At 42.1% G+C, this 18,534-nt stretch overlaps 1 protein-coding gene and 1 pseudogene across 3 annotated transcripts in view, besides 2 other annotated features; one reads left to right on the top strand and one right to left on the bottom strand.

Moving 5' to 3' along the window:
• PBK (PDZ binding kinase) overlaps positions 1 to 7,680 on the bottom strand; it is a 28,194-nt gene extending 20,514 nt beyond the window's left edge. For 2 of the 3 annotated variants that reach the window (NM_001363040.2, NM_001278945.2), the window contains exons 1-2: positions 7,573 to 7,680; positions 2,919 to 2,996 (exon numbers count right to left, since the gene is read on the bottom strand). In NM_001363040.2, coding sequence (NP_001349969.1) covers positions 2,919 to 2,976 — 58 coding nt within the window. In that variant the 5' untranslated portion in view covers positions 2,977 to 2,996; positions 7,573 to 7,680. Of the gene's footprint in view, positions 1 to 2,918; positions 2,997 to 7,514 lie in introns of all 3 variants that reach the window. The other variant, NM_018492.4, reaches the window with a different exon arrangement.
• Positions 7,790 to 7,849: an enhancer, noted in NCBI's record as "active region_27157". NCBI's record gives its function as "activates an Ori minimal core promoter by ATAC-STARR-seq in GM12878 lymphoblastoid cells {active_cell/tissue: GM12878}" and the evidence as "EXISTENCE:reporter gene assay evidence [ECO:0000049][PMID:35858748]".
• Positions 7,920 to 7,969: an enhancer, noted in NCBI's record as "active region_27158". NCBI's record gives its function as "activates an Ori minimal core promoter by ATAC-STARR-seq in GM12878 lymphoblastoid cells {active_cell/tissue: GM12878}" and the evidence as "EXISTENCE:reporter gene assay evidence [ECO:0000049][PMID:35858748]".
• LOC100130612 (TAF9 RNA polymerase II, TATA box binding protein (TBP)-associated factor, 32kDa pseudogene) lies at positions 8,360 to 10,275 on the top strand (annotated as a pseudogene).

Genomic DNA, 18,534 nt, shown 5'->3' on the forward strand with positions numbered 1-18,534 from the left:
GGTTGCAGTGAGCTGAGATCGCACCATTGCACTCCGGCCTGGGTGACAGAGCAAGATTCTGTCTCAAGAAAAAAAAAAAAAAAAAAAATGACAGGAATGGCAAAATTAGCAGATAAGAACCTTAAGACAAATCTTAAAAATGTGCTCAATGATACAAAGGAAAATCTGAGCATAACGGAAAAAAAAAGACAAAATAGAAGCTTAGGAATGAAAAATACAATGGATAAGAATAACATCATCTTAGAGCAGAAGAATAACTAAATCTTAAGACAGAGCAACAAAAACTATCAAAAATGAAGCAAAGAGAGAAAAAGGTTAGAAAAAAATCATCAATGAGCTATGGGACAATAGCAAAACAGCCGATTTACATCCAACAATAGACAATTACATTGAGTATAAATGGTCTAAACAGAGCTGTCCAATACATCATGCTGCCATGTGGAAATGTCTATATCTGTGCTGTCTGAGCGCTGAGCACTTAAAATGTGACTAATACAACTGAGGAACTCAATTTGTAATTTTATTTAATTCTAATTAATTTGTATCCAAATTTAAATAACCACATTTAATAATCCAAATTTAAATAACCAAATTTAAATAGCCACATGTAGCTAATGGCAAAACAGTCCAGTTAAAGGAAATTAAAGTTGTCAGAACGGATAAAAACAAGACGAGACATGCCATTTATAATAAACTCAATTTAAATATAAAGACGCAAATAGGGCAAGAGTAAAGGGTTGAAAAACATCATTAAAACACAAATCAAAATAAATCTGGAGTGGCTCCATTACTATCACATAAAGTGGACTCCAGAACAAAGAGTACCACTGAGGATTAAGAAGGGTATTTCGTAACAGTTAAGGTATAAATTCATCAAAAGAAATAACCATCCTAGGCCAGGCATGGTAATCCCAACACTTTGGGATCTGACTTGTGGTTTATGTGTCTTGGTGAATGTTGCATGCACTTGAAAGGGAGGCCAAGGAGAGTGGATCACTTGAGGCCAGGAGTTTGAGACCAGCCTGCCCAACATGGCGAAAACCTGTCTCTACTGAAAATACAAAAATTAGCCGGCCATGGTGGTGCACGCCTGTAATCCCAGCTACTCCAGAGGCCAAGGCACCAGAATCACTTGAGCCCAGGAGGTAGAGGTTGCAGTGAGCCGAGATCACACTGTTGTACTCCATTACGGGTGACAAAAGGAAACTCAAAAAAACAAGAAAAAGAAAAGAAATAACCATCCTAAATGTGTATGTACCTAATAACAAAGCTTCAAAATACATGAAGCAACAACTGATAGAAATTGGGGGTGGGGGGAAGCAGACAAATCCACATTGTAGTTGGAAACTTCAACTCTCTTCTCTCATAATTAATATAAAAAGTATACAGAATATCATTGACATTTGTAGAACATTGACATTTGTAGAACACCGTACCCAGTAAGAGTAGAAAAAAATGCCCTTTTCAAGTGCATGCAACATTCACCAACATACATAAACCTCAAGTCAGACTGATTAAGGAAAAAAATTAAGAAAATATACAATACTAGTACCAGATATGAAAAAGGACACTAGAAGGTTAATAAGGGTGTATCAAGAATAACTTCACACCAGTACATTTGAAAATTTAGAAGTGATGGACAAATTCCTTAAAAAACACTAACAAAATTCACAAAGAAAATAAGAGATCACTTGAATAGCCCTATATCTATTAACTGTGAAATCACAGTTAAACTCTTCCTACTAAGAAAACTCCAGGCCCAGATAGCTTTACTAGTGAATTCCACCAATTTAAGGAGGAATAATACCAATTCTACACAAAGTTAAAGAAAAAGATATTTCTATTAAAAAAAGAGAAACATTTCTCATCTTTATGAATACAGAATAACCTAATATTAAAACTAGACAGATATCCCAAAAAGACAACTGCAGTCCAATATCCCTCATGAATATAGACAATATCAGCAAATCAAGCAATATATAAAATATATCATGACCAAACTGGCTTTACACAAGGAAGTTCAGTTTAACACTTGAAAATTAACATAATTTACCACATTGAGAGATTTTAAAAGAAAATTTAATAGATTCAGAAAAAGCTCTCTACAAAGTTCAATACCCACTCACGATAATAACTAGAAATAGAAGAAAAATTCCTCAAACTAATAAAGGGTATTTGTGAAAAACCTACATCTAACATAATACATTGGGAACAAGGCAAGTATATCCACTAACATTTCTATTCAAAAACATACTGGAGCCAGTGCAATTAAAAAAAGTAAAAGAAACAAAGCCATACAGACTGGGGAACAAAGTAAAACTGTCTTTCTTCATCCACAAATGACCAACCATATACAACATCCCAAGCAATCTATTAAAAAGCTAATAGAATAAGTGAGTTTAGGACGGTTGCAGGATACAAGGTCAATATGAAAAATCTGTCACTAGAAATGGACAACAGAATATTTTCTCATGTTATTTTCTAGAAATTTAATTGTAGCTATTTTTTATATAATAGGAGTTAAGGGTCAAGGCTTATTTTTTGCACGTGGATATCTAGGTGTTTGTTGAAAAGATTTTCCTTTGTCCATTGAGTTGCCTTGGAAAATATCTTTCCCTCACAAGAGCAATGTATGGATGAGAGGGAGAAAGGTAAAGCAGTTCCTTAATGGGTCAAGCTAAGTTGATTCTTGGGCAGGGAGAGCCTCCAAACCTGTTAGATTGTCAATAAAATTAGTCCAGAGATGATCAAACCGTGGCCTATAAAATAAGTCTTATTTGTTAAGATTAACATCATAAAGGGGAGTTACATTAAAGTTTCTAAGTGACCGATAATAAAGGATCAAACTAAATAATACTAGGACATTTCTAAGAGAAACAACAATAGTAAAAAAAAAAATCTTACATCTGCTATCTTACCAGATTTCTTTTTTTCTGATAATTTGCTTGGTGTCTTGAAATTACTGATCCCTTCCATTGTGAAAGCCACTCTCAGTCCTACGATGAAAACAAATTGCAAGTTACACAGCAGATATAAAGAATACAACTCTCATTCATGAAGAAAAATGCCAATAGCCAGGCGCAGTGGATCATGCCTGTAATCCCAGCACTTTGGGAGGCTGAGGTGGGTGGATCACCTGAGGTCGGTGGATCACCTGAGGTCGGGAGTTCGAGACCAGCCCGACCAATATGGAGAAACCCCGTCTCTACTAAAAATACAAAATCAGCCAGGCGTGGTGGCGCATGCGTGTAATCCCAGCTGCTTGGGAGGCTGAGGCAGGAGAATCGCTTGAACCTGGGAGGCAGAGGTTGCGGTGAGCCGAGATCGTGCCATTGCACTCCAGCCTGGGCAACAAGAGCAAAACTCCGTCTCAAAAAAAAAAAAAAGCCTATAACATTATCGTTCACGTTATCACAAACAAAATTTGAGAGCTAAAAAGGACCTCAACAAACATTTAGCCCAATTTTACTTAAAATGAGGAAACTAAAACCAAAAAGTACAATTACTTACCCCCATCATAATATTAGTGATTGGGTATTTTTGTTTTCATTATAAAGTAATATATGCACTTAGCTAAAAAAAAAATCACCTAGTACAAAAAAGTAAACAGTATGTCTCCCTGTTATACTTCCCAGGAGCAGTTGTTAACAGCTCTCTTATATCCTTTAAGGAAACTGTTCAAGCAGCATTATTCATAACAGCCAAAAGGCAGAAACAACAGAACTCTGCATCAGATGATGAATGGATAAACAAAATGTGGCATATCTATACAATGGAATATTATTCAGTCATAAAAAGGAATAAAGTGCTGATATATACAAGAATGAACCTTGAAAACATTATACTAAATGAAAGAAGCCAGACACATAAAGGCTACATATATGATGATCCTTTTTTTTTTTTTTTTTTAGATGGAGTCTCACTCTGTCGCCCAGGCTGGAGTGCAGTGGCATGATCTCGACTCACTGCAACCTCTGCCTCCCAGGTTCAAGCAATTCTCCTGCCTTAGCCTCCTGAGTAGCTGGGACTACCAGCGCCCACCACCACACCTGGCTAATTTTTATATTTTTGGTAGAGACGGTGTTTCACCATATTGGCCAGGCTGGTCACGAACTCCCGACCTTGTGATAATGCCCGCCTGGGCCTCCCAAAGTGCTGGGATTACAGGCATAAGCCACCGTGCCCGTCCAATGATCCCATTTTTAGGAAATGTCCAGAATAGGCAAATCATGGAGACAAAAATAGCTGAATAGTTACTAAGGACTGGGAGACAAAGAATGCAGAATGACTGCCAGTGGGTATGGGATTTCTTTCTGGGGTGAAGAAAAGGTTCTAAAACCAGATAATGGTTTAATATATTCATCTCTGAGTATACTAGAAACTATTGAATTTTACACTTTCAAAAGGTGGATTTTTATGATACATTAATTATCTCAATAAATGGTTATAAAAATTGTCTATGAAAATAAAATGAGGCCGGGTATGGTGGCTCACGCCTGTAATCTCAGCACTTTGGGAGGCCAAGGCAGGCGGATCAGTTGACATCAGGAGTTCAAGACCAGCCTGGCCAACATGGCGAAACCTCGTCTCTACTAAAAATACAAAAAAATTAGCCAGGTGTGGTGGCGTGTACCTGTCATTCCAGCTACTCAGGAGGCTGAGGCAGAAGAATCGCTTGAACCTGGGAGGCGGAGGTTGCAGTGAGCAGAGATCGTGCCACTGCACTCCAGCCTGGGCAAAAGAGCAAGATTCCATCTCAAAAAAAAAAAAGAACGGAAGAAAAGAAAATGTACATACCACATATATAAACAAAGCAACTCAATGTGTTTACTTCTTCGTAACATATTTAAGAATTTTTTTATTTTAAAAATTATATTTCTTTTTAAAAAATTAGGTTTCCTATTAGATTTATTTATTATAAAGCAAAACTGTTCCTACATGTCTATAAGCTCATTTGTCTATAAAAAGTTGGGAGGCAGACAGATTTGCTTAAATTTTTTATAGAGCCCTTAATAATAGCATCTTTAAAAACTGTACTAAGGGGAAGAAAATCATCTCAAAGGCCCAGCTTTAACTATTAATGACAAGCTTGTTCATCTTGTTTAAAATGTAGCTACAATCACTATTGTCTTCAGATTTACCTGTCCTGAGAACACCGAAGAGCCCCTTTACATGTGTTTGTCAAGAGTATAATAATTTTATGAAGTGACCCATTTAACTTGACGGTAGGAACAGCAGAATTTCTGAAACCAGTTTCAGAACTTTGGGAAAGGATAAACTATTTAGCAGAGTGGGTTGCAGGAGGTATTTCTACTTCGGAAATAATTTCCCCATGTCATTCTGACTCCCCTTCTTCCATCTGTGTTATCTTTCCCCATGGGATGCTGTGATGTGGCACCTCAGAGATCTTCTAAGATTTTTTTTTTTTTTTGAGACAGAGTTTTGCTCTTGTTGCCCAGGCTGGGGTGCAATGGTGCAATCTCGGCTCACTGCAACCTCTGCCTCCCAGGTTCAAGCAATTCTCCTGCCTCAGCCTCCCAAGTAGCTGGGATTATAGGCATGTGCCACCATGCCCGGCTAATTTTTTGTATTTAGTAGAGATGGGGTTTCACCATATTGGTCAGGCTGGCCTCAAACGTGACCTTAGGTGATCCACCCGCCTTGGCCTCCCAGAGTGCTGGGATTACAGGCGTGAGCCACCACATCCAGCTTCTTCTAAGATTTCTATCTACCTATGTGAAGCTACTCTTCATTCACTCAGTCAATATGCACACACTGAGCACATACAATGTGCTCTAACAGTGCACTGTTCGAGCACATACCATGTGCTCTAACAGTGCACTGTTCTACACTCTGGAAATAGAGCAGCAAACAAGACCCAAACAAGTATGAAGATAAACATATACTATTTCAGGGGAAATATATATCAGTGAAGGGAGCAGAAGGCCTTGGGAAGGGGCTTAATATTTGAGTTTAAAGTGGTCAAGAAAGGTCTCCTTGAGAAACTCATTTGAAGGAAGTGAGGGAGCAGGCCCAAGCAAGTATCTAGTGAAAGTCTTCCAGAGAGAGGACAAGAAATACAAAGACCTGAGGCAGAAATCTTCACGAAGAGGCGAGCTAGCAAGGGGGAGAATGAGACAAAGTCAGGGAGGCTGAGGGTAGGGACTGGCAAGTCAAGTAGAGCATTGTAGCCACAGGACTGTGACTTCTACTCAACTGTAGTCACAGTCAAGATTTCAGCTTGTACTGAGAAACAGAAAGCTGTTGGAGAGTTTTGTGGAGGAGTCAAATAGGTGGGTGGATACGGATCTAGAATGCAAGCTGAAGATTTAAGTTTGTGGGATGGCAGCACGCAGACGTTATTAAAGCCAAGAGACTAGGTAAGATCATCTAGGGAGTAACTGTAGAGAGAAGAGGGGTGAGCCCTAGGGCATCCAAGCATGAGAAATGAAAAACAAAGCAACCAAGGAGGTGCCAACAAAGTAGGATGCAGAAAACCCTGGCGCGTAGAGTGTCCTGGAAATCTTATGATGAGCCTTATGAGTCTCACTGCCTTTTCCCGCTCACTCTACGGAGGATTTGATATTCAGAAGCAGCACGTTTTAAAAAAGAAAACCTATCTCTAAAAACAACTAGGTTTAAACAGAAGTCGTAACATTTCATTATGTTCTCTTACGACTGAGTCCCACCTTCTACTCTAAGCTATTTGCACCTCAATGTACCATGTCCTATCCATTTCACAGTTGTCTGAGGGCCACTTTTTTCCAGACTGCACACTCAGGTTTAGGCATTAACTGCTGACAGATAGCTTTTGGCCAGTAGCCCAGACTCTGCTTCAGATTATGTTATGTATTGTATATGCATTCTTAACATTAATTGTTAAATAACCATACTAATTCTAAATCACAAGGTTCTCATGAAGATGACAGCAAAAAAAACAGTGAATATTTAGATGAAGATAAATTAGAAATGGCAGTAGGATGACCGTGAGCAGAATTTCATACTCTGTGGAATACGTAAGATATTTTTAACAATCAAGTACTGTTTAAGAGGCAGCATTAAAGTGAGCAGCGCTCAAGCAAGCTAATCTACAGATTTACCGGGTCAAACGTCAGTGACCTTTGGGCCCTAAGCCTGGGACCCTGGGACTCAACAAATACCTGGACACTACTGACAAAGCTACGACGCGGACGGGCAGCAGAAAACGGAAAATTAAAAGAATGAGAGAAAAAGTAAAGGAGAAAAGAGAAACAAAGTAGATGTAGAAACTCCAAGGGGAAGCAAAGAGAAAGTGTGGGCCGCATGACTCTCAGGTCCTCTGCATCTCACACGCTCAGCAGGGTTCGGGGGTGGAGGTCAGACTGTTTACCCCAATCCAGGGGCTCACAAGGGGCTGGCTGCCAAAATCCTTCTTTGGCTGTAACCAGATCCTCCCCTGTCACGAAAGCCCCCGCAGAGGCCTCGGCTCCGGGCTCGGCCCCCGCCAGGGCTCGCAAAAAAAAAGCTCCTCTTACCAGAGTCTCACCGCCTGGAAGGAAAGGTCGGAGGTGAAAATAAGTCGTGGCCAAGTACCTCTTCAAAATTGGTCCCGAGCGGCCCCCAGCGAGACCCTGCAGCTGCCTCTAGCACCAACACATACGCCCGGCAGCTGCCGTTGCAATTCGAACCCTCCTGGCTTTCAAAAAGTCGCGCGCTGCGCCAGCTTCGGCCCCGAGCTACGGGGCGGCGTGAAGGACACGCCCCGCCGATTCGCCGTTCCTCCTCCCTCTCCCAGGACTCCCGGTGCCCGCAGGCGCCAAAGACGAGGGAAGGAAGGAAAGGCGCGGGGAGCACAAACTTTTACAGGAACCACCAGCCCTTCCGAGGAGCACAGCCCGGTGAATAGAACACAGTTGCCTGTGCTGAAGGCTGAAGCTCTCTCCAAACGCTCACATCTGTGTTGAATGTGTCGTGATTATGACGTCAATTTTATTATAGGTTTATGAGGCCTTGAAACACTGTAAAGACAAATGCGTAGCTTAAGGAACAATCATCTTTAGCCGAGGGAAAAAAAAGATATTTAGAAATGTTGCTAACTCATGTAATTGCCACATTCAATTCAACATTCTTTAATTTATTCAACGATTATTTAGGAACATCTGCTCCCCAGGAGGGGATGGGCCGTGGGGCAGACCAGGGGCCCAGAGCTCAGGGCAGGGGGTACCGCTTGTGGGGCCGCTCATTTCTGTTTCGAGGTACACCAAGGGTTAGAAAAACCACAGTAAGCAAAGAACTTGCATCAAGATCGGGACTGGAATCCATTAATGTAGGTGACAAAGCCCCGCAACTCTGATCAGGGCTTCTCCCCAGGAAGATGTGCCCTGAGGCATCCCCCGAGGATGGCGCAGGTCCTGAGGGTCGTGGGGATCAAAGAATATGAGCCAAGACGTATAAATCACATGTTGGAGTTTGCCTTCCCCTATGTGACCACAGTTCTGGATGATGCAAAAATTTACTCAAGCCATGCTAAGAAAGCTACTGGTGTGCAATTGCAATCCAGTGTGCGCCGACCAGTTTTTTTTTACCTCTCCGCCCCAAGAGATTTTTATTAGATATTGCAAGGCAAAGAAATCAAACCCCTTCGCCTTTGATCAAGCCGTATTCAAGTCCTAGAATGCCACCCAATAGATATTGCTTAACAGCTCCAAACTATATGTTGCAGGGAAAACCCCAAAACTAGGGTACAGCCACAGAGGCCACCTGGCTTGGAGCAGGAAGGAATTCGAGAGCAGCCCCATAGAGTAAAATGAGAGCAAGTTTATTAAGAAAGTAAAGGAATAAGAGTGGCTACTCCACAGGCAGAGCAGCCTGGAGGGCTGCAGATGGGCTATTTTTACCGTTATTTCTTGATCATATGCTAGATAGAGGATGGATTATTCATGAGTTTTACAAGAAGGCCCTGGGGATTTTCTGGAACTGAGGGTTCCTCCTCCTTTTAGACCATGTAGGGTAATAAGTTCCCCGGGTTGCCATAGCATTTGTAAACCGTCATGGCACTCAGGGGGAGTGTCTTTCGGCAGCTAAATCATTATAATTAGCCTGTAATGAGCAGTGAGGATGACCAGAGGTCATCCACTAGTGGATTTCAGTCTCAATCTTGATCCGGGTTCTTTGCCTGGAGTGGTTTTTCCAACCCTGGTGTGCCAGGAAAGGGAACGCTGAGTGGCCCCCTATGGGGTGCCCTCTTGGTTTTGGTGGGTTTGGGCCACCCTCTTTACTGCATCTGTTTTATCAGTGGGGGTCTTTGTGACCTCTATCTTGTGAAATCAGTCCTGCCAAACTTCTGTCTCATACATACAGGCTTAAGTCTTTACAGAAAAAGGCATCTACGTCTGAGGGAAGAATAACAGTCCCCATGATATCAGTGGGCCAGGGGAGGTCCTCAAATGCCGGTGGGTCCTGGACCCCCGCAGGTGTCCAGACTCTTGACACCGTCTTGAGAATGGATTCAAGGATGAGTTGGAAAATAGTGAAAGTATGGAGATTTGTTGCAAAGGGAAAAAGTACACACTTAAGAAAGGGGATTGCGGGCGTACTCAAGAGAGTCACACAGTGGGGTGTGCGGTTTCTCTCTGTATGGGTTTCTTCAACCAAGGGGTGGAATATTTATGACAATTCTTGGAAAAAGATGGAGATTTCTTGGAACTGTGGTGCCACTCGTTTTTACACCAAATATGGGTGTTCCCAGAACTGTCATTGCGCTGGTGGGTGTGATTTAGTGTGTTAATGAGCATATAATGAGGTCCTAGGTGAAACCTAGGTCAAATCCAGCACCACTTTGGGTCTAGTTGGTCTTAGCCAGCTTGGTGCACACCCTGTTTTTCAGGGGTTCATCAGCCCATAACCCCTACTCATGGGAAACTGCTGTCTGGAGTTTTTATTCTCCTGTGAACACCCTGCATTATTTCTGTCTCACCCAGATTAAATGTTGGTTCAGTTACTAGCCGACCAGGTGTTCACACACTAGGCACACCACCCCCCAAACCATGTTTGTGGCAACTAAAGTAAGGACTCAAATGTCCCTCACAAGGCAAAGGTTTACAGTGTAGATGTCTGCTTCACATTGCCCTGTGAAGCGTGAATTCCTGTAACATCAGCAATTCAGAATGTTCTGGTTAATCCATCACGAATGGTCCAGAGGCATTCTTATTACACTAATATGGTGTCATCACAAACTACTGCCAATGGAAAAAAAAACATGAAGAAGATGATAATGATGATGATGAGGACGATAATTTGTAATCTAGCTTTGATGTATGTAACATGTATACTTGACCTTGAATTCACTGTACTGAAATTAATCATGCATGCTGGATGCTTTCAAGTTGTGTTTTAGAAAACTTAAATAATATTTCATGAGTATACTCTATTTTCAATTGAAATATTAGATTTTCTTTAATAGGATAAGTAATGGTTTTTCATCAGCTTTTAAGTGTAAAATAATAAAGTTGTCCTTCATCAATTAAAAAAAAACACATTTATAGAGCACCTACTTCTACCCTTCAAAGTCCAATCTTTCAGCATCCCTAAGCTTCCTTAGCCCGTCTCAGGAGGAGGCAGGGGATGGGGGCTAAGGAAACTTAACCAAATCACTCCTCCTCTCCTAAGTCTTTACCTTCACCCCCTTTAATAGTCATTTTTCTTCCAAATCAAACAATAACAATAATAGCAAATACTTATTTAGTATTTATTGTATGTCAGGTCTTGTTTCATGTATTAGCTCATTTAATCTTCATAACTCTATGATGTAGGTTACTATGATTATAAACTCCATTTTTCAAATGAGGAAACTGAGGCACAGAAATGTTAAGTAATTTGCCTAAAGTCACAGGATTTAACAATTGGTAGAGCCGCAATTCGAAACCATGTTGCCCTTAGACTTCCTCTTTAACAAATGTGCTTAAAATCTCTTCCACATTACACATGTGTGCACACACACGCACACCCCTCCACCTCTGGGGCCTTTCCATTTTTGGTCACCCTCTTTCAAGCATAGAAGCACAGTGTCTCACCTCTCTCTCTCTCAACTCTCATTCTAATTTTCTTCTGCAGGCATTATATTATAGACCTCACCACCTTTTCTTTAAAGATCTATAGTGTTCTATACTTTTTATGAAGTCCTACATTTTTACAAGCCTATTTTCTACTCTTACTGGCTAATAAAATCCTGCCTAAAGCCAGAGCCTGAAAGCTTCATAATTAACCATTGCTAGTGAAAAGAAACTCCAGGGAGATGAGGTTATCGATGCAGGTATAAGATGAGGCCAAAAGCATGCATGAGAGAGAAGGCACTGGTGTAAAGCCTTACTCATAACCATCCTGTTCCCCATCTTCTAATCATAAAACTGCCTCCAGAGATTAGCCACAGAAACATCTGAACTTCACAAGTGCAGTGTTATCATTTGTGAAATGCAACCATGAACTCAAAATCTTGCATACTAGTCAGTTGTCATGGAAAATAGCTTGCAACCTAGATCATTATTTATTTCAGTGTATAAATGGCCTGGTTTCCTTGGTTTAGCAAAAGAGCCCACAATTCTGACTCTTGGCTGCCTGAGCCCAAAGAAACATCGGCACTGTCATCTTTTTACGGCATAAACTCTAACTTCTGGTCCATGCAGGACCTCACCTTTTGATTTTCAAGGGCCTAGTTTGAAAATGAAAAAGAAAATTAACTTTTTTTCTCTCTTTTTTACTGCTATTGCATTTTAATTCTCTTTGAAGCTAGGTAAATGCTGCCAATTGTGATATAGGAGTTAAGAAGAAATTAGGCAGATAGTGAGGGTAAGGAAGTCCTCAGTAAGGTTTTCCTTTTCTTGAAAAGCAGCCCCCAAATCATCTTCTTTTCTAACAAAGAGCAGCCTGTAAAATCGAGCTGCGGACATAGACAAGCAAACTGGAAGCTTGCCTGGATGAATGCTGGCAGCTGTGCCAGTAGGAAAAGGCTGCCTGGGGCTAGGCATGTCCAACATGGTGGTTCCATCTATCCCTTTCCCTGTCAACCATGTGCACAGTAAGGAGAAGGCAACATGCATTGGCCAAGTAGAAACCCCATTTGCATTATAAAAGATTAGGGTGGGTGGCCAGCTATGTAAACGTCCCACCTGGTCCAACCAATCTTGGGCCCTATGTAAATCAGACACTGCCTCCTCAAGCCTGTCTATAAAACCCTGTGCACTCCACCACGGGACAGAAGTCCCACTAGGGCACCCCTGTCTCTTGCAGGAGAGAGAGCAGTTCTCCTTTCTCTTTCTTTTGCCTATTAAATCTCTGCCCCTAAAGCCACTTCTTGTGTGTCCACATATTCGATTTCCTTGTGTAAAATGAGGAGCCTCGGGTATTTACCCCAGAAAATGACACCACTTCAATTGGTTAGGTGGGAACTTTTAGGAAAGAAGAGGAAAAATATCAAAATGTTAAGGTTTTATCTTGTTACATCTGTATATCCAACCAATCAACTTGACACATCCCTAGGGTGCTTCTCAGGTGTCCCAAAGCCATTAGGTCTTCAGATGAGGCCATCGAGCAACAGACTTGGATCAACCTCAAAATGTTCAGCAAAGAAGCTACATGCAAAAGAATACACTATTGCATAATGCTATTCATATAAATCTCAAAACAGGCAAAACAAAGCCATAGTATTTAGGAGTTCATGCTTAACTGACAAAAACATTACAAGGTAACACCACCAAAGTGACTACCATCAAAATCAGGTTCATGATCACTTTGGAGGAAGAAAGTAGGAAGGATCAGGAGAAGAATGAGAGGGGCTCCTGGGGTGCTAACATTCTAGCTCCCCACCTGAGTGATGCTACACAAGGGTTTGCTTTGATAAATCATTGTGCTGGACATTCTGTTTTGGGTACTTTTCTGTAGTGTTAAGTCCACAGGGGAAGAGCTTTTTAAAAGCAAAGGGACATGTACTCCATAAATATATACACCTACTGTGTACCCCTAAAAAGTTAAAAATTTAAATTTAAAAAAAAGCAAAGGGAGAAGAAAAAAAAATGTGATGGAAAGTGAGCCCGGGAAGGTCTGTCACCCACATAGGGACACAGCGAAAGGGTTCCGTTATGATCTTCTCAATGAGATGCACTTGGTGCAACCTGGAAGGCAGAAATGAGATGGAATCCCTTTCCTGCCCCTTTGCCTGTTTCCCCTGGCAAGCACAGCTCGGTGGGGGATGGCGGGGGGGGGGCGGGGGGGTTTGGGGGTTTGGGTTTTTTTTTTAGGGTTTCAGCAACCACATTCTTGTGTCTAGTCACTTACTTTGTGGGTCTTGAAAGACACCTGCAGTGGCAGTGGTGGTCTCCCAATCCGTGGATCACAGCTATGATGGGTGTCCTTGAATCTAACATGAACCCAACACCCCCAGTCCCAGTCTCCTGCCTGGCAATGGGCAGGTGTATAGTGGAAAAACAGTTTTTCTCTATACTCACACTCAACACTTCTGTGACCAGATGTGCACACTTTTTCCCATGCCAGCCACTTTTCCCACACCAGCTGGGTGTCGTACAATTCAATTCAGTTCTGACACAGACCAGAGTTAGCACAGACCTCACAGGTTAAGGGCTCAGTCCCACAACACCAGCCCCCAATTCAGATGCCAATCACAAGTAGTAAGTCCCCAGGACACCCACAACTTCTGTCTGATTTGGCTACAAATTGGAGCTTCCCATGAACCCCTCTTTGGGTTCAATATTTTGCTAGAGCAGCTCCCAGAACCCAGGAAGACAGTTTACTTACTATTGTCAATTTATTACTGAGGATATTTCAGCCAGATGAAAAGGTACAGCATAGGGCAAGGTCTAGAAGGGTCCCCAGCACAGGTCCCCATAGAGTTAGAGTGCACTAGCCTCCTGGCACGTGGATGCATTCACCAACCTGGAATCTCCCTGAACTCCATCTTTTAGGGATGTTAATGGAGGCTTCATCACAAAGGCATGATTGATTATTAACCCAATCGCTAGACCCTCTCTCCTCCCTGGAGAATGAGGGGTAGGGGTGAAAGTTCTAGGCTTCTGATCATGGCTTGGTCGTTCTGGTGACAAGCTCTCATTCAGCAGCCCAGCAAAAGTCACCTACAGACAGTATAACAGATGCTCCTATCACCCAGGTCATTCCAAGGGATGAGGAGCTCTGAGTCCAGACCCTGGCATCTGGGAGAGGTGCAGCTGCAGCTGTGGAGCAAGGTGGGTGGGGGTTTGCGGGGAGGAACCCTTTGCACATCCACCTAGGGAGGGCTGGTCTCCACCAGCTTTGTTCATCCTCAATGGCTAAAGGTTTCCATTTGCAGTTTTCTGACTTTTCCTACCTCCCAATAAGAAGCGAAATTAGCTGGTTCTGGGAATACGGGGCTTGAAAAACAAGAAGTGCTTTGGAAAATGTGCTGGGATCTGAGTCGCCTGTAATTGATGAGTTCCTGCCTCCATTGTGGTCCAGTGAACTGGGAAGATGTGGCAGGGAACTCAAACCCTCCCTAAGGGAAGACGCCTACTTAATGCCTAAGGAAGATGAGTTTTCCATCCTCTGTGATTGTGTAAGATTTCCGGGCCAGCCCTGACATCTGGCCACAATCTCAGCACCCAGTCATTGTTTTTGTTCCACAATATTCTTTGCTTTTTAACTCCATCAGAAAAAAAAAAAAACTGTCTTGATTCTCAACATGTTAGGGTGAATCAATACAGTGATTAATAGGAAATAATTTTTGGTGGTTTATATTTTAAGTACTAAGTACCCATCTAGAATGTATAGGGTGGTCAGGAACTTAGAGGGAATGGAAATCCTCCTGCACACTGGATGCGGTTTGAAATTATCCTGCCACTAAGACAACAGCAGCATAAACATACTGGGTGAAGAAAAATAAGCCGGATGTTCTCAGGACATCTGAAAATCATTGGTTCAGACCCTTTCCTTAGGGAAGATAGTTAAATGGAGAAGTTGGTCACTTTAGAACCCATGAAGCTGAGGCATGAGAACAAGCCCAGAGCTTTTTCAGCAACGTGACACACTCAGTTTGTTTGTTTGTTTTTTAATTAAAAAAAATAATTGGCCAGGCAGAATGGCTCATGACTGTAATCCCAGCAGTTTGGGAGGGTGAGGTGGGAGGATTGCTTGAGGCCAGAAATTAGAGATGAGCCTGGGCAACATAGCTAGACCCTGTCTCTCCAAAAAAAAAAAAAAAAAAATTAGAAAAAAAATTAGCTGAGCATGGTGACTCATGCCTGCAGTCCCAGAGCCTTGGGAGGCCAAGGCAGGAGGATCACTTGAGGCCAGGAGTTCAAGATCAGCCTGGGCAACATGGTGAGACCCTATCTCTACAAAAAAAAAAAAAAAAAAAAAAGCCAGGCATGACGGCGTATGCCTGTAGCGCTGGCTGCTTGGGAGGCTGAGGTGGGAGGACTGTTTGAGCCAGGGAGTTTGAGGCTATCGTGAGCTGTGATTGTACCATTGCACTCCAGCTTGGGTAATAGAACGAGACCCTGTGAAAAACGAAAAAGCAAACCAAAAGAAACTTGTTCCTCAGGCATAAGGGGTAGGTGGATATCAGAAGGGAAGGGCCTCCTAAGGCCCTAATACCTATGCCCCTTCATGCACCTATTAATATTCTCAGCATAAATTTAGCAGCCCTCAATCAAAGAACAGTCCCAAGCTAGGCATAGAGCTCATTAGATGGCTGCTATGGTGAATGAGACATATGTTTGTATTTTTAAATTGTAAGCCTGAACTAGGAAGACTTTGATGAGTCTGTTCCCTGTGTGTGGGAGGAGAGATTGCATTTGCATTTTATGGATTGCTCAAGAAAACTCCAAAAGTGGGAAAACTCATTCAATTCCCTCCCTCATTCTCTTATTTATCTCTTGAAAAAATGAACCTGAGCTAAGTGCTGGATGTTAAAAAAAATGAAAAGATAAAAAAAAAACTTGCTTTCAGGGAGCATTCAGACTACTTAGCAAATGGATGCAATACAATGTGTCAAAGAGATAATGGATGATAGTGAGCCTGACTGTGCTGGGGGTGTCCTGCAAGATTTCATTGACTTGGGTCTTGAAGTATGACAAGTTTGCATGATGATCCTGTTTCATGGGCACAAGGGCAGGGCAGGGCTCACCAGGCAAGAGGATAGGATGGGTAGAGGCATGACAAAAGATGCACAATCTTTGAACAGTAAAGAGCAAGGAAGGCTGGGTGCGGTGGCTCACTGCTGTAATCTCAGCCCTTTGAGAGGCTGAAATGGGAGGATCACTTGAGCTCAGAAGTTCAAGATCAGCCTGGGCAACATGGGGAGACCCCATCTCTATAAAAAATATTTAAGAAATTAGGTGGGCATGGGAGCACACACCTTTAGTCTCAGCTACTCCTCAGGAAGCTGAGGTAGGAGGATCACTTGGGCTGATGAGGTTGAGGCTGCAGTGAGCTGTGACCATGCCACTGCACTCCAGCCTGGGTTGCAGAGAAAGTTCCTGTCTCAAGGAAGACAATAATAAGGCAAGGAAAAGTAACTGGGGAAATAGGAAGAGGCCAGACCATGGCCTTTTCTGGTGTAGAAATTTGAACTTCATTTTGTAGGTCTTAGGGAGTCACAGAAGGATTTAAAGCAAGACAGTGACATGATCAGAATCATGTTAGATGGAGAAATCTCCCTGTGATTATTGGTGGGAGCAGGTAATGGGAAATTGTGGTAATCCCGGTGATAGATCAAGAAGGATGACACTGGCCAGTCGAAGTGGACTGTAAAGAACAAAACCAATTCTACCCCAGCATTTATGGGGTAGAATCAGTAGCAGAGTTTGTGAAGTCATTAGAAGCCTCTTGCCAAAACAAAAGTTTGGTCCCTCAAGAAGGGTACTGCAATATGGTCAAAAGAGAAAGGCCAAAAGTGCTTTCCTAGATATTGCTCCTCTGTGGCAGGAACAGGCAGAGAACCAAAAAGAAAGGAAGCTAGGAAGAGTATCTACCAAGCTATACCATGCCTCTGAGTTCACACTGTGGTTAGGCTAAAACTCTAAGAGAATAATAGAATATAGTTGAAAATTCCAGGTTGGATCAAGACTCAAGGCATATCATTTTGCACCTGCTATAAGTTCCTTTAAAAAAAAATCCTATCTGGGGCCAGGTGCGGTGGCTCACACCTGTAATCCCAGCACTTTGGGAGGCTGAGGCGGGCGGATCATGAGGTCAAGAAATCGAGATCATCCTGGCTAACATGGTGAAACCCTGTCTCTATTAAAAATACAAAAAATTAGTGTGTGTGCATAGTGGCACACAACTGTAGTCCCAGCTACTCGGGAGGCTGAGGCAGGAGAATCGCTAGAACTGGGAGGCGGAGGTTGCAGTGAGCCGAGATCACGACACTGCACTACAGCCTGGGTAACAAGAGCAAGACTCCGTCAAAAAAAAAAAAATCTATTTTGAAAAATGTAATATATTTAATTTGTATTGAGTCAAAATTCACATGCAATGAAACGCATAGATTTTATGTGTATAATTGATAAGTACACACACAATACATGACTGTGTACACAACTCCTTTGTATGTGATTGGAAATATTTTCTCCCAGTCTGTAGCTTGCCTTTTGATTTTCTTGACATCTTTTGACCAACAGAAGACTTTTTTTTTTTTTTAATTTGAGATAGAGTCTTGCTCTGTCACCTAGGCTGGAGTCTGGAGTGCAATGGCATGATCTCAGCTCACTCCATCCTCCGCCTCCAGGGTTCATGCAATTCTTTTGCCTCAGCCTCCTGAGTAGCCAAGATTACAGGCATGCACCACCATCCCTGGCTAATTTTTATATTTTTAGTAGAGATGGGGTTTTGCCATGTTGGCTAGGCTGGTCTTGAACTCCTGACCTCAGTTGATCTGCCTGCCTTGCCCTCCCAAAGTGCTGGGCCACTGCACTAAAAGATTTAATTTTAATGAAATCCAATTTAACATTTTTAATGGTTAGTTTCTAACACTTTATTTTCTTAGAGCAGTTTTAACTTTATAGCAAGATTGAGCAGAAAAGATGGTATTTCTATATACTTTCTGCCCTCCACATGCACAGCCTTCCCCATTATCAACATCCCCCACCAGAGTGGTGCATTTGTTACAACTGATAAACCTACACTGATATATTAGTATTACCCAAAGTCTATAGTTTACCTTAGGGTTCACTCTTGGTGTTGTACATTCTGTGCATTTAAATAAATGTATAATAGCATGTATTCAACATTATGATATCACACAGAGTAGTTTCACTGCCCTAAAAATCCTCTGTGCTCTACCTATTCATCTCTCTCTCCCCAGAAACCCCTGGCAACTACTGACCTTTTTACGGTCTCCATAGTTTTCCCTTTTCCAGAGTGTCATATAGTTGCAGTCATATATTATGTACCCTTTTTTAGCCTTTTTCACTTAGTGCTATACATTTAAGTTTCTTCCATGTCTTTTCAAGGCTCAATAACTAATTTCTTTTTAGCACTGGATAATATTCCATTGTCTGGATGTAACAT

The sequence above is a fragment of the Homo sapiens genome, chromosome 8, assembly GCF_000001405.40.
Source record: "Homo sapiens chromosome 8, GRCh38.p14 Primary Assembly".
In the NCBI taxonomy this organism is placed as follows: domain Eukaryota; kingdom Metazoa; phylum Chordata; class Mammalia; order Primates; family Hominidae; genus Homo; species Homo sapiens.